At 38.4% G+C, this 14,404-nt stretch overlaps 1 annotated feature.

Annotated features, from left to right (window-relative positions):
• Positions 14,355–14,404: a silencer, noted in NCBI's record as "silent region_14154". NCBI's record gives its function as "represses an Ori minimal core promoter by ATAC-STARR-seq in GM12878 lymphoblastoid cells {active_cell/tissue: GM12878}" and the evidence as "EXISTENCE:reporter gene assay evidence [ECO:0000049][PMID:35858748]".

Genomic DNA, 14,404 nt, shown 5'->3' on the forward strand with positions numbered 1-14,404 from the left:
TGAAGGTTTAAACTTCAGCTAGAGAGTTATTTTCCATTTGAAAGGAAACGGCATGATCTTTCATTCATGCATTCAGTAATCAGCATTGTTGAGGAGCTACTCTGTGCCAGATGCTAAGAAAATGAAGTGGTCTCTTTCCTAGAAAAAAATAAAAATTGTGGCAAATGTAATTTTGACTCTACTTGGTTTGCTATATATTATTAAAAATCAAGTTTTTAAAAGAAAGATTGCATTTCCATAGTAGTCATGTAAGCTTAATGATGATATTACATGAAAAGCAAATAAGTTACAAAGATTTTTTAGAGCACATTCAAATAGTTTATATATCATAAATGTAACAATACCTACTTGTAAAAATTTGAAATCTAGAACAGGCATTTAAGCAGAGGTCAGGCTGTTTCATCATTTGATATTCAATACAAGTTGGTAGAGCAACTCCGAACCCTGACACTCAACTTTTACCAAAGTCTGCGTGCCAGTCAACATTTCCTGTCATACAAGTCTGACACATCAAGTCTGGGCTATCTTATTATTTTTCTTCTTTTTGGTATTTGGTTACCATAATTTTACTGTAATCCTCATTTTCAAGAAATTCTTCCTCCTTTACACTTGCTTTTTTCCCTCTGTATTTGTCAGCTGTGCCACTGCCCCTCTCTCCTCTGGTCTTGGCAGTGGTGAGCTTTTCAACTGCAGCACCATGCTGGTTTGGGGACCAATACCCTTACGTTTGGGGTAGTAGGATGGTACAAAGCCCTCTCAGATTTCTTACAGAAATCTGAGGTTTCATATGGGACGTTTCATTCTCTTATAGTTGCAAAACACTTTTTCAATTTTTCTCAGTTGCCTGGAGCATAGTACATAATCCACAGTGGTCTCTCTTTCATTCATTCACTTGTTCATTAACTCAACAAATAAATATTGAGGTTGGCAATGTGCTGGGCTTGGAAGATACAAATGTGAGCTAAATATTAACTTGAATTCTGTCCTCAAGGAACTCACAGTCTAGTGTGAGAGAGAAAACTTTGTCAAACGGTTATAAAAACAAGTGTAAAATTGCCTGTAGGACAAGTGCCACCTGGTATATGAGTATTTTATAATAGCTGAGGACAGAACATGCTTCCCTAGGAAATATCACTTGAAGTGAAATATGAAGCCTGTGTAGTAAGCAAATAGGAGAAGAATGCAAAATAATACAACATGGAACGAGCAGAGAAAACTGTGAGTGCAGACACTGTGGCAGGAAGAGGCATAAAGATTTGGGACTACAAGGCAGTCAGAGTGGCTGGGATACAGAAAGTCCCAGTGAAAATGTGTGTGGGATGAGGAGGCAGAAAAAGGTGGAACAAAACTGGGTAGGCTTTGGTAAGGAATTTTACCTGTATCTTGAATGAAGAGAAAAACCAGTGAAGGGTCTTGTAGGGTACCAACATGGGTAGAGTGGCATTTTTAAAAGATTATTTTGGCTACAGTAGGCTGTAAGAACACACTGAGCTTCTGTTCCATAAGAAATTCCCCAAAAGAAATCATACGCAAGCCACAGCTGAATATTTAGACCAAGGAATGAGAAGGAGGAGCAGGTGGAAGTGGTCTAACAGAAGACAAAAACCAGTATTAGGCTAGAAAAGAAAGTAATCAGGATACTTTGGCCTCTAGTTGTAGGACCCACATTCTGGGTAGGTTTTTTTGTTTTTGTTTTGAGACAGAGTCTCACTCTGTCACCCAGGCTGGAGTGCAGTAGCGAGATCTTGGCTCACTGCAACTTCCACCTCCAGGGTTCAAGTGATTCTCCTGCCTCAGCCTCCCGAGTATCTGGGATTACAGGCACGCACCACCACATCCGGCTAATTTTTTGTATTTTTAGTAGAGGTGGGGTTTCGCCATGTTGGCCAGGCTGGTCTCAAAATCCTGACCTCAGGTGATCCACCTATCTCAGCCTCCCAAAGTGCTGGGATAACGGGCGTGAGCCACCATGCCCGGCCAGGGTGGTTTGTTAAACATGCAGATTCCAAGGCCCCTTGCCACAGCTTCTGAGTCAGAATCTGTAGGAGATGAAACTCGGGAATCTGTCTTGGTGTTTCAAGTCGACCATGACTAAAAATTATATTGTCTAAGGCATGCAGGTAAATGAAAAATGATGACGTTGAAATTATTCAAAATCCCATGAACTCCTCCACGTGAGATCTGAGCAAATAGGAAGAAGGAAAGGCACAGATACAATGAAACAACATTAGACATGGGTTTTCTTCCAGGCTTAGTCATGGCAGCTCCCTGTGCCCTGAGGTTTGTCCCTGGACCCCTCTGCCTGTTTTCTCATCTGCACCACACTGCCAAAGCCCCTTCCAGCTGTTAATGCTAAATTCTAAACTGAAGCATCTATGTTGATTCCCACCTTGCCTACAAAGTGATGTCAGGTATTTACCTTCATTTTATTCTGATTACCAATTGAGACTTGTTCATAATACTTTAAATTAGGGTTAGCAAATTATTCCCTGTGGGTCAAACTCAGCCTGTCCCCTGATTTTGTATGGCCCAGGAGCTAAAAATGGTTTTACATTTTTAATGACTGAAAAGAATCAAAAGAAGACTTATTTTACGATGCAATAACAGTATATGAAATTCAAATTCAGTGTCCACAAAGAAAGTTTTATTGGAACACACAGCCATACTCATTCACATATGGCTGATTTTGCTCCATACATAATTCACAAGGTCAGTAGTTGTGATAGAGACCATCTGGTCCACAAAATCTAAAAATTACAATTTTTTTTTAACAGAAAAAGTTTCTGACTCATGTTTTACATTAACCTCTCAGCCTTTTTGGTTAAACCACTGATAAATTGCCAAGCTTCTCTGAAGCAAATAATTAAATTGAAATGCAAATAATTGTCTCACAATTTAAATATTTTATAAATTTGACTTTTCATGCTGAATCTTCTCAAAACCTTTATATTTTTGTCTTATGACTTTTTGTATTCTAACTTACTGTTATTCAGGTGAATCAGAAATGTATGGCTTCATAAAGGATCTAACATAATTATCAGTCCACTGTACATTGCCTAGGCTTCTGTAGAAACATATCAAATTAATAAGACATAATCTACATATAGTCTCTACTTCAATTCTAATTGACTTATCGAAAACAGAATTAATTACTTTTGGCTTCAAACCCATCTCTTAGTCTTCCATTCTGGGTTAATACTGTACGTTTGAATGATAACATTTTATGAATATGAAAAATGCTTTTGAAAACAGTAAAAATCAGATAATTCACACTACTGACAAGGAGGCCCAGTACAGATTACCATATTTCTTGGGAGACAGGATTAATTGAAAAAAAAAATGGTGTAAGTTTACTGAATTACCCTGTAAACTGTGCCCAGAGAGACACACACTGTTGACAAGAATCTTTCATTAAAGATACCATAACATATTTGGTAAACATAATGGGAGTTGCACTTGCAGGAGACCTCATTACAGCTCTTGGCTATGAAATCTTGGTGGAGAAGTGGGGTGAGACTGCTGGGTTTTCTGTGAGAAGTATTGAGTTTGTGGATTATTAAAGAGGTGAGAACCAGTGAAAAAGTGGGGTTAGGCTGTACAGCACTTTTCAAGACTCATTCCGTCTTCAATGTTTAGACTGCTAGAGAGTTTTTCTCAGATTCAACTAAAGTCCAAGAAATATCTTTTAAAGTATATTTATTATTTTGTTTTAATTGTTTTTGGTACCAGGTGCTACTGTTTTTAGCAATAGAATCTTTTGAAGGAGAGGAATTGGTATCAGGGAAAGAAATAACAGACTGCTAATAATAACCTTTGGATGTCACCTTCCCTAGCTTTTCCAACTCCTAATAGGCCCACAAAGGGGCAAACAGTATTTTAAGGCCCACTGGGATAAGAAATTAAAATTGTTTCTTCTGGCATGGGCCATACCGGAGTAATCTTATAAAGAAAGCAAAATGTTTTTCTTCCCACCTCCATTCTTCAATTCACACCTTTTTTCTAATCAATTATTTGTTTATTATTTGATTATCAATTCAACAAGTATTTATTTAGCACCTGAAAGGCACCAGGTTAAACCTCTGGCAGCTCTATAGGGAGTTATAAAAAGTAGTGTCGTCTCTTCTACCTAACCAAGGTAGGAGAGCTCCGTAACAAACAATGCCAATGTCACTTTGAATTAACATAATGAAAGTTTACTTCTAGCTCATGTAACTTTTTAGTGTGGAAATTGGATCCTCCCATCTCATAGCTCTATAATATCCTAGGACATCAGGAGCCTTCCATTCCAATGGTTGGAATGGAAGTGACCAACTGGTTGGAACAACTCAGTCACTTGGCCACAGATAACTGTAATGAGAAATGTGACAAACATAGTTTAACCTTTCCCAAGAGAAGAAGGAAATGGGTTTAGGGGAAAGATAGCCAGTCTTGGCCACACTTTTCTTCAGGAAACTTACTTTCTCTCATATGCCTGTGCTGGACCACTCAGCACCATCATACTGCATGGATTGACATTCCTTTCACACCTCATGCCACCCGATGCTCTGAAACCTTCCAGCCTCCCAGAATCATTGGAGGCAGGGATAGGAAATGTGAACTTGATTGAAATAGGAGAGATTATTTGAGAAACCACTCTATGCCTTATTATTTTAATAAGTTAAGTAAATTATTTTAATCTTATTTAATCCTCTCAACAATTCTGAAATGTAGGTTTTATTAACAGCATATCACCAATGACAAACTGAGATTCAGAGAGGCTAAAATCCTTCTAGAATGACTTGGATTCAATCTCAAGTCTACTGGAGCCCCAATCTAGTATAGTTTTCACTACACCAGTTTCCCAACTTGAGTTTTTTTGTGCAGCACCTTTACGCCATGTCCTGTACTACATACTTCTAGTACTGTTAAAAAGACCTTCTCATCAAAACCTAGTCTCAGCCAAAGCAATGCTACCTATGATACACTATTATGGTACTACCTTTACACCTTAGCAATCACTTTATTGACTGTATCCTCATTACTTGTCATTTAGGATAACAACCTGATAATGCTGAGCAAAGACAAAAGACCAGCGCTGATGATCCTTTCCCTGGGATTTTTGCATTTTTAAAAATATATGCTAGGGTTTAGCCTAGAGGAGAGAGTCACTGGAATGACATCCTCAAATTGAAACAACAATGAGCTATCATTGCATAGCCACTGGAATGACTAAAAAGGCAAATTAAAAAAGCAAATTTTACAAGAATATGTAACAAGTCTCATAAATAACTGGAGGAAATATAAAAGCATATAACCATGTTGGAAAACTGGGCGGCAGTAAGAAAGTTTAACATCTATTCTTGACCCCAATTTTTCACTTGTAGGTATTTACCCAAGAGAAATGAAAACATGTTCTCACACACACACACACACACACACACAAAATATACAAAGATTCCCCAACTTTTTGGTCTTGAGACCCTTTTACATTCTTAATAATCACTGAGAACCCTAAAGGACTATTGTTTATGTGAGTTTTGTCTATTATTACTAAATTAGAAATTAAAACTGAGAAATTTAGACACTTATTCAGCAATAAAGTTAATTTTGACTATTAATATTGTTAATATTGTTAACCTAAATAATATATTTTTATGGAAAATAACTATATTTTCCCAAGTAAAAAAATCAGTGTGAAAAATAGCACTATTTTACATTTTTGCAAATCTCTTTAATAGAAGTTTAATAGAAGATGACTGGATTCTCTTAACTGCTTCCACATTCAGTCTGTTGAAATATCACATGTCATATAGATCTGGAAAACTCCACTGTACATACATGAGAGAATGAGAATGGAAGCATCAAATAATGGTCTAGTACTATCATGAAAAGAGTTTTTAATCTTGCTCTTGCAGGTCCCTGAATGGGCTGAATGTGTCTCAGAAATCCCTAGGCATCGCTGCACCCACACTTGGAAAGCCACTGACTGCCCTGGAAAACTTTCCCACATACTCAAGTGTTTAAGAATGTTTAACATGTTCAAGAATGATTACTGTGCTATAGCTTGCAATAGGAAAAAGTTGGAAATAATAAAACTGTGTATTTAAGAGAGAATTGATAAGTTTAGTATTCACAATGTGAAATAGCTCTTTGACTAGATACAGTTATGTGTATCAAATAATTAAATCTCAGAAATAAAATATTGTCTAAAAAGAGCAAGTAGAAGAATGACACATTGTATGAGACTATTTTTATAGAGTAAGAAAACATTAGGAAATGTTCTAAATGTTATTTATCACATACAAATATAGTAAACCTATAGAAGTTGCATGGGAATTATAAACTCCAAATTCAGAGTTATTTGCCTCTGGATGAGAGAGGAAAGGAGGGAGGAGAATAAGATTGGAGAGGACTAAACAGTAGATTCAGTTGTATTTAAAATGTCTTATTTTAAAATCCTAAAGAAATATGGCAAAATGCTAAGATTTGACAAGGTTGAATAGTTGTTACATGAGTAGTATTTATTTTACTTATTATGCTTTTAGGTATGATTGAAATATTTCAGAATGTTAAAAAATTATATACAAGAGAGTACAAAAGCCTTTGTGAATAAACAAAACAAATGTGTTGGTAATCTATGTTTAAGGGTTATTCACATTTTTGCTGTTTTGAGGCTTTTCAAAAACTTTTCAAACACAGCAGGAAGAGCTTAGGCTTGATTCATGCGCATATTTCTGTTCTTAAAACTTTCCTGAATTTGTACTTTTTCTACATTTTGAAGGAAGAGCCTCTTTGAAAGGGGTTTTTGTTTACATTTATCCAAGGAAAATTTATTCAATATCCTGCACAAAGAAAAAAAGAAGAAGAAGAAACGAAGAGGTATTGAAGAGGTACAATAATGCCCATTCTACATCAGCTAACAATGCAACAAGAAAGCAACTTCTTATCCCAATTGAGTTCATAGATGTATGGGCAATCCAGCAAATACTCTTCCTAGGTACACCACAGTAATATGTGCACTAGTACATAGGGACATGTATGCAAGAATGTTTATTGATTTTAGTGAATTACACATTAGCAGAAAAAGCTTTAATGAATTATAGTGAGTCTGCATAATGATATCTTATCCAGTTTACAGTAGTAGGCAACTACCTTCTCTTTGCATAATTATCTTGGTTATTCTTAAGGATTTGTTCTTTCACAAACATTGCCAGGTAATGTTATCTAAATGTAAGGCAGAAATTTGGATTTTGATTAGAGTTGCAGAAAATTTAAATTTAAACAATAATTTTGGAAAAAATGTTTTTGTGATTTTAAATTGTCCAATTGAAGAATATATGGATGTCTATACATTCAGATCTTTTTTTTAGATTTAATTTTATTATTATTATACTTTAAATTTTAGGGTACATGTGCACAATGTGCAGGTTAGTTACATATGTATACATGTGCCCTGCTGGTGTGCTGCACCCATTAACTCGTCATTTAGCATTAGGTATATCTCCTAATGCTATCCCTCCCCACTCCCCCCACCCCACAACAGTCCCCAGAGTACATTCAGATCTTGTTTTATGTCCATCAATAAGATTTTTTGTTTTCTTTATCTTGTCATGCTTAACATATTCTTAAATGCTTTTTTTGTTTTTGTTGTTGCTATGAGTGAAATGTTTTCCATTCCCATGTTGGGATACTCAAGGCTAGGATCTATGAGAGGTATAGATTATTTAAAATATTTATCGTGTATACAGCCAACTTACCAAATTTTCTTACTAATTCTATTATTTTTTAAATAAAGATGATATGATCTTAATGTGTCCCCCAGAGTTCTAGTGTTAGAAACTTTCTCCCCAGTGCAACCATGTTGAAACCTGGGCCTTTTGGGAGGTATTTAGGTCATCAGGAATCCACCATCACGAATGGATTAACACCGCTATAAAAAGGGCTTGTGGTTCACTCTCTTCTGCTCTTCTGCCATGTGAGGACACAGCACCCATTCCCTCTTGCCCTAACACTTTCTGCCATGTGCAGATGCAGCAAGAAGGCACTCACCAGATGCTTGCATCTTGATCTTGTACTTCCCAGCCTCTCCAGACTGTGAGAAATATTTTTTTCTTTATAAATTACCCAGTCTGGGGTATTCTGTTGTAGTAGCATAAAATGACTAAGATAAAAGGTTTGCTATGTTTCTTTGTAGTCTTCTAGGGGCTCAGGTCTGTTTGATCAGTGGCAGCTCTCCCATTGCGGGTAAATAAAGAGATCTCCGTTTTTTTTAACAACACCTAATGGCTGTCCAGTTGAGCACCAGGTAGCAGGCTACCCTCTGCTATATTGGGGAACTCTTTTGCTCCCCAGTCTCTTTGTTCTCTTTAATACTTTGTCCTCCTGTTAAACTCCTTGGCCTCTTGGAAACCAGGGATACCTGGTACTCTCATGAAAGGCCAATGAGGACCTTCTCCTTGGAGTTCACCAACCTTCACAAGGTAAATTATTTCCTGGGGTTCTACAGAGCTGGTCTCCAGATGCTCACTCAGATAAAGAAGATTGTCCCATATCAGTTAAGTGGGGACTAACAGGTTGGAATTGGTGAGGAAGTCAAATGGCTGCATTTGGGTCACTGTATTTCCAGAATGCCCCTCTTTTAGATTTCTAGATTATTATGCCTAATAGACTCAGTGTTACTTTCTAAGGAAGCTGTTGAATGATATATGTATGGCTTCATCCTGGCTCAAGCACTTAGTGACTTGGCTTCCCACATTCTTCCTTTCTCATTCTCTTTCCAACCATACACCTTAACCAAGTAGAGTCTAGATTATCTCAAAATGAACTTTGTACTGTGATGGAATTCCAATTCACAGATAGCAAATCCTAGAGGCTTAAACTTGCATTCAATTGAAAAAGTTATAGAATAACTGAATAAATTATCTTTATGACACAGTTTATCAGGCATGATTGATAACATCACTAGATGTTGGCTGAAGACCAAAATACATAATGTGATACATTATCTGGTCTCTAATAACAGCCCCTAGTGAACCATACCTTCCAGTCTTCCTGCCCACTGAATCTGGACTGGTGGGCCTGTGACTTCCTTCAACTGATAGGATGCAGGAGAAGAGACAGTCAGACAGTTACAAGGCCTAAGCCTGTAAGAAAGACGGTAGCTTTGAGTCATGGTGTAAGACATCCAGCTACTTTGCTGGAAAGACCATGTAGAGACACCACATGTAGAGGCCAGTTGAAAGAGAGAAAGGAATCAGTAACTTCTGCCTTTACCAGCTACAGTCCCAGACTTAGGCATCCTTGCCAGGGTATCTATCAGATTCGTGAGAGGAGAATCCTGGGTGTTTAAGCGTATCCACAATCTGATCACAGCTGCAAAGAGACCCTAAGTGAGACCACCAGAAGAACCATCTAACAGAGACTATTTAAAAGTGGTGGGAGAAATAGTATGCAAAATGGCCTCTGAGTTCAGTCCGTGTTGGAGCTTAGGCTGACTTCGTTCATTCAAATAGACATTCTTCAGAATGCCAAACCACAAGCCATATAATTTTATTATGCAGATTTATTGCATATTAAAATTGTTGTTGTTTTAAGCCACTAAATATTGAAGTAGTTTGTTCTGCAGCAATATATAACCAAAACATATGTTAAGGCAGAAATTTAGAGTGAAGTTGGGACTCTCAAATTCACACAGTAACTTATTTCCAGACCTAGATTTTCCATTTTGTTCCATGTTTTCATCCTTTTGTCTCCTTGTTGCACTAAGACAAAAATCTTAGTGACACAATTTAGGATTTTTAGGACACTTTTGATTCTCAGGGATTTAAGAATGATCCACTAGAACCTACAACAAAGAATGCAAATAAAAGCAGTTCTGTAACTTGGATTCTCCAATATGCTGAAAGTGCGCAATCTTGTTTCATTTCCCAAAGTATTAGGCTTTCTGAATCAGGCCTTCAATCTAGTGAAGTGTCTGTAAGAGTAAAATGGCACACACCACACAGGCTCATAAAATCATAATAATAATAAAAACCCCTCAGACTTTTTTTTTTTTTTTCAGCTGTGAAGCAGCACCTGCCATTAGCTGTGGTGGTTCCTATTTTCATATTGTCTGACAGTAGCAGTTGGATCACACTTGAGCCAGTGTGACTGAGAGGCGGGCTCCCTGCTTCCACAAAGCTGAATTTAATAAGATGAGAACAGCATGCCAAGATGGGGAGCTCCCTCCCTGACACTTATCCTGACACCAGCCCCTCAGCGGGGCCGTATTGCTGTGGTAATCTGGGTGAGCCGGACAGAGCGTCCTGCTTACAAGTTCAATATAATGGAACAGCAGGGGGCGAAGGGCTGGCAGAAAAGCTTAGCAAAGTTAAAGCCTATTACTCTATGCTTGAGGAAAAATGAGTCACCAAATATTACACCCAGAGCAAGACTTGAACCTGCCAAATGCAGCAGCAACACACGCTAAGTCTTGTCCATAATGGTGCATTCATTATCCTATGGTCCAGGGTAATGTGGATTTAAATGTTTTTAACCCTAATGGAAATGTATATGCAAATTTTCCCTTAAGCCCATCCCTCCCTCAGTGTTCTTTTGCCCTATTTGAATCTAATAGGCAAGGTGACTGTACACTGCATATGTCAAAGAAAATGATGCCTTCTTTATCTGCCGTCAGTAGCAAGAAGAAGGCAAGAAACTGGACAGAAATCTTTCAGCTGCATGTTATGGCTATTGTTGTTGCTGTTCTGTTTTATGCCTCTTGTGGTGTTGAATTTAAAATTAATGGAAGAAATAGCATGCAAATGATCTCTGTGTTCAGTCCTGATTGAGGCTTAGGCTGGCTTAGTTAATTTTAATATCAGCTCTTCAATATAAGTGAATTCTAACACAAACTCTTCAATATAGATAGGTTTTGATACAAGTTCTTCAATGCTGGCCATTCAAATCAAACTCTTAGAAGTGGAACAGATTTGCCGTATATTTTCCATCAACCAGTGCCCCAGAACTTACATATTTCCATCAACCAGTCTAGGACTTTGTCTAACTGAAAGACTATTATTTAGAATCCTGATCCTTAGGACTCTAGGACTCAGTCTTTTTTTTGAAAGAATGACAATAGAACTAAGACTTGTGATTCCTCCTGCTTCCCTAGATTAGCTACTACCAGATTTTCATTACAGCAGAGGCCACTGAGATAATCAATTATGGTGTTAATGACAACAGCCACCAATTACTGAGTTCTTATCATGGGCCAGGTGCTTGGTTGGGTAATTTATGCCCATTATCTCCAATTGTTATATAGTGCATCATAAATGTTCTCATACTGTTCTTCAGATGTGCAAAGAAATTTCACCTTTTTTATTTACAGCTGGCCAAATCTTATTCTTCATGGTTTTCCAACGGAGATACAACATTAAATGTCAGACCCTTTGGATGTATAGTGTCTTTCAGCTATATACTCAGTCTTTTAGGTTTCCTCTCTTTCCCCTTGCTCCTCTTGAACATGGTGTCTGAAATGCATGTGCTTAGCACCAGTGGTGAATGAACACTCTAGACTCATGTTAGTTCTTGGGTTCCTGGAGGCCCTACCTTGGGATGGCTGGCCTGACCAACTGCATAGACTGAAGAGCAATCAGGTTCTAACCAGCTATTTGGAGCTTCCTGCTGGCCTAATACTAGAGACTGTGATCCTGGCCTATTAACTCTGTTTATGAAGCCTTCAAATGTTGCAGACTCTGACCATCCCAAGGTGTATGACAGTCCACCTTCTGTCTCTTACATTCTGTGTCCCCACATCAGGACATGTAGGAATACCTGTATGCCCTTCATGCCAGGCGCAGGCCAGGGGGAGCAAGCCCACTTCCTCAGTCTCATCTCTCATCTCTCTTGTTCTTCTGTCGTTCAGTGGTGTACTTTTCTTCCCACTCCATAAGGACATGGTGCAGAGATTAATGGGAGATCCTTCCTAAGATCTTAGCTGTGTCTAGGGAAGTAGACCACTAATCTTTATGTCTCGGGGGTATCCTAGAAACATCTAAATATTTCCATTGTCCTCTCACTTTATTTATTTATTTACTTATTTATTTATTTATTCATGCATTCATTCATTGAGATGGAGTCTTGCTCTGTCACCCAGGCTGGAGTGCAGTGATGCGATCTCTGCTCATTGCAACCTTGGCCTCCTGGGTTCAAGCGATTCTCTTGCCTCAGCCTCCTGAGTAGTTGGGATTATGGGCATGCATCACCATAACCAGCTAATTTTTATATTTTTAGTAGAGATGGAGTTTCACCATTTTGGCCAGGCTTGTCTCAAACTCCTGACCTCAGGTGATCCACCCCCCTTGGCCTCCCAAAGTGCTGGGATTACAGGCGTGAGCCACCATGCCCGGCCCTGTCCTCTCACTTTAAATGCAGGACAAGGAGTGAGGAAAATGGGAATCCTGACATCTGACCTCCTTCATTTATCATTCACACTTTTCTTCTTTTAACACTGCCCTGGGCACAGAAGCAGGGCTTGCCCCTTCCTCTTCCTGCCTAGCCAGACCCCCATACCTCATATGAGTTCTTGTTGTACTCTAATTGCCCTAATTTAGGTTCCCCAGAAACAGACAAGGAATCAAATGGAAGTAGTATATTTGGGAGGGGCAAAAAACACCAAAGTGGGAAAATGAGAGAGGCAGGCAGTAAATAAATGGTGCATTATAGACCAGTTACCGCTGTGGGCAAGTGGACCTTAATCCCATGGGTAACAGAGTAGAGCACATGTTCAGAGTTATTCCACCCAAGGGTTAAGGAAGCTGCAGCATTTATACATCAATTCCTCTATTTGCTGTTGCTTCAGACAAAGCCACAGGACCTCAGCCATGGATTATCTGATTCAAAATGACTTTAACAGTTAAATTCTGACAGTTGAGACTTGCAATTTTCCCTAAAAATTATTTCATTAATTTGTGAACCTTTTTCTTCTACCTCTTGATCTGAAAGCCAAACAGCCAAACAAGCAGGAACCATGACAGTGTTCATTCCAGTTCAGCTAAAGACATGCATTAAAACAAAATAATTTGGTTGTGTATCACCAACCAAGTATCACAAGCAGTTCATCGCTTTGGCAGAAAGTAATAGCTTTTAAATAAAAATCCAGCTAACGTTTTTGATCAAACTATAGTAGTTACAAAAGGAATTTATTTCCTCTTATAAATCAGAGTAATACCTCAGCCCTGGAGGGCTAAACTCTCTTTTATTTCTCAACTTTTTGAATATGCTGGTCTCTCTTGTCTCTGAAACATCCTCCCATCAAACTTCCACTATCCTTGTCTTCACAGACAACCTTTAGGTATCACTTTACATGTAATTTCCTCTGAAAATCTTTCTTCCATTCTGCCACTCATCTTCCAATTCCCAAGAAAGCACTTTACTCATAGCACAAGGTATTTAACCTGCCATAGAGTGCATCTATCTGTGAAGTAATGACCAGTTTTCCTCTCTGAAGCCCACTAGCTCATGAGTTCATAAATATAAGGAGTGCTTTCTAAATAAAAGTAGCTTGACACCTAGCATGGCTTACATGCTCAAAGCGGTTACACAGTGAGTGAGTTACACTTGCTTTCAGTTCCCATGAAGCCTCACCTAGATTAGGAGATAGCACCCGTACTCAGAAAGGCCTGGGATGGAATCCTAATTTACCTCCTCTGTGACTTTTGGCAAATTGCCTAACCTCTGTAATCTTCTGTTTCCTCATTTGTGTTAAAACATTAATATTTACCTGTCAGTGATGTTGTGCCACTAAATGAGATGTAAGTCAATTGCTTGGTATTTTATATAGCAAATGGTAAGCATTCAATAGCTGGGAAGTGGATTCTACTGCCACTTCTCAACAGAGGGTACTTGGAATCATATTAATACTTATAATGTATTTATTCCTACTATCACAGCAGTCTGAGAGGCTGAATATATAAAGTACTGGTTCTCAAACTTTTGCATGTATTAGAATGCACAGAGTACATATATATATACGGGCCCTAGCTCTAAAATTTCTGATTAAGTAGGTATAGGGCGGGGTCCAAGAATTTGCATTTCTGACAGTCTCCTAGATGACACTAATACTACACTGATGGGCCTGGCACCAACCTTTGAGAACTGATTCTTGCTTTCTTCACATCTCCCTCAGCCCAGACAGCTGCACATGGGAGTCACTCAAAAAGCTTTCAAAATTACTAATGTGTGAGTCCCATACTATAGATTTCTAGTTTAATAATAGGTCTAGGGTTCAGCCTGAGCATTAGTGTTTTGAAAGTTTCCCAAGTGATTCTAATGAGAAGCCAAGGTTGAGAACTGGGGCCCCAGGTGCATGTCAATGAAGCCTTGCATCTCAAAGTGTGGTTTTCAGACTAGCGGCATCCACATCACCAGGAAGCTTGTTAGAAAT

This window comes from Homo sapiens, chromosome 3 (assembly GCF_000001405.40).
Source record: "Homo sapiens chromosome 3, GRCh38.p14 Primary Assembly".
In the NCBI taxonomy this organism is placed as follows: domain Eukaryota; kingdom Metazoa; phylum Chordata; class Mammalia; order Primates; family Hominidae; genus Homo; species Homo sapiens.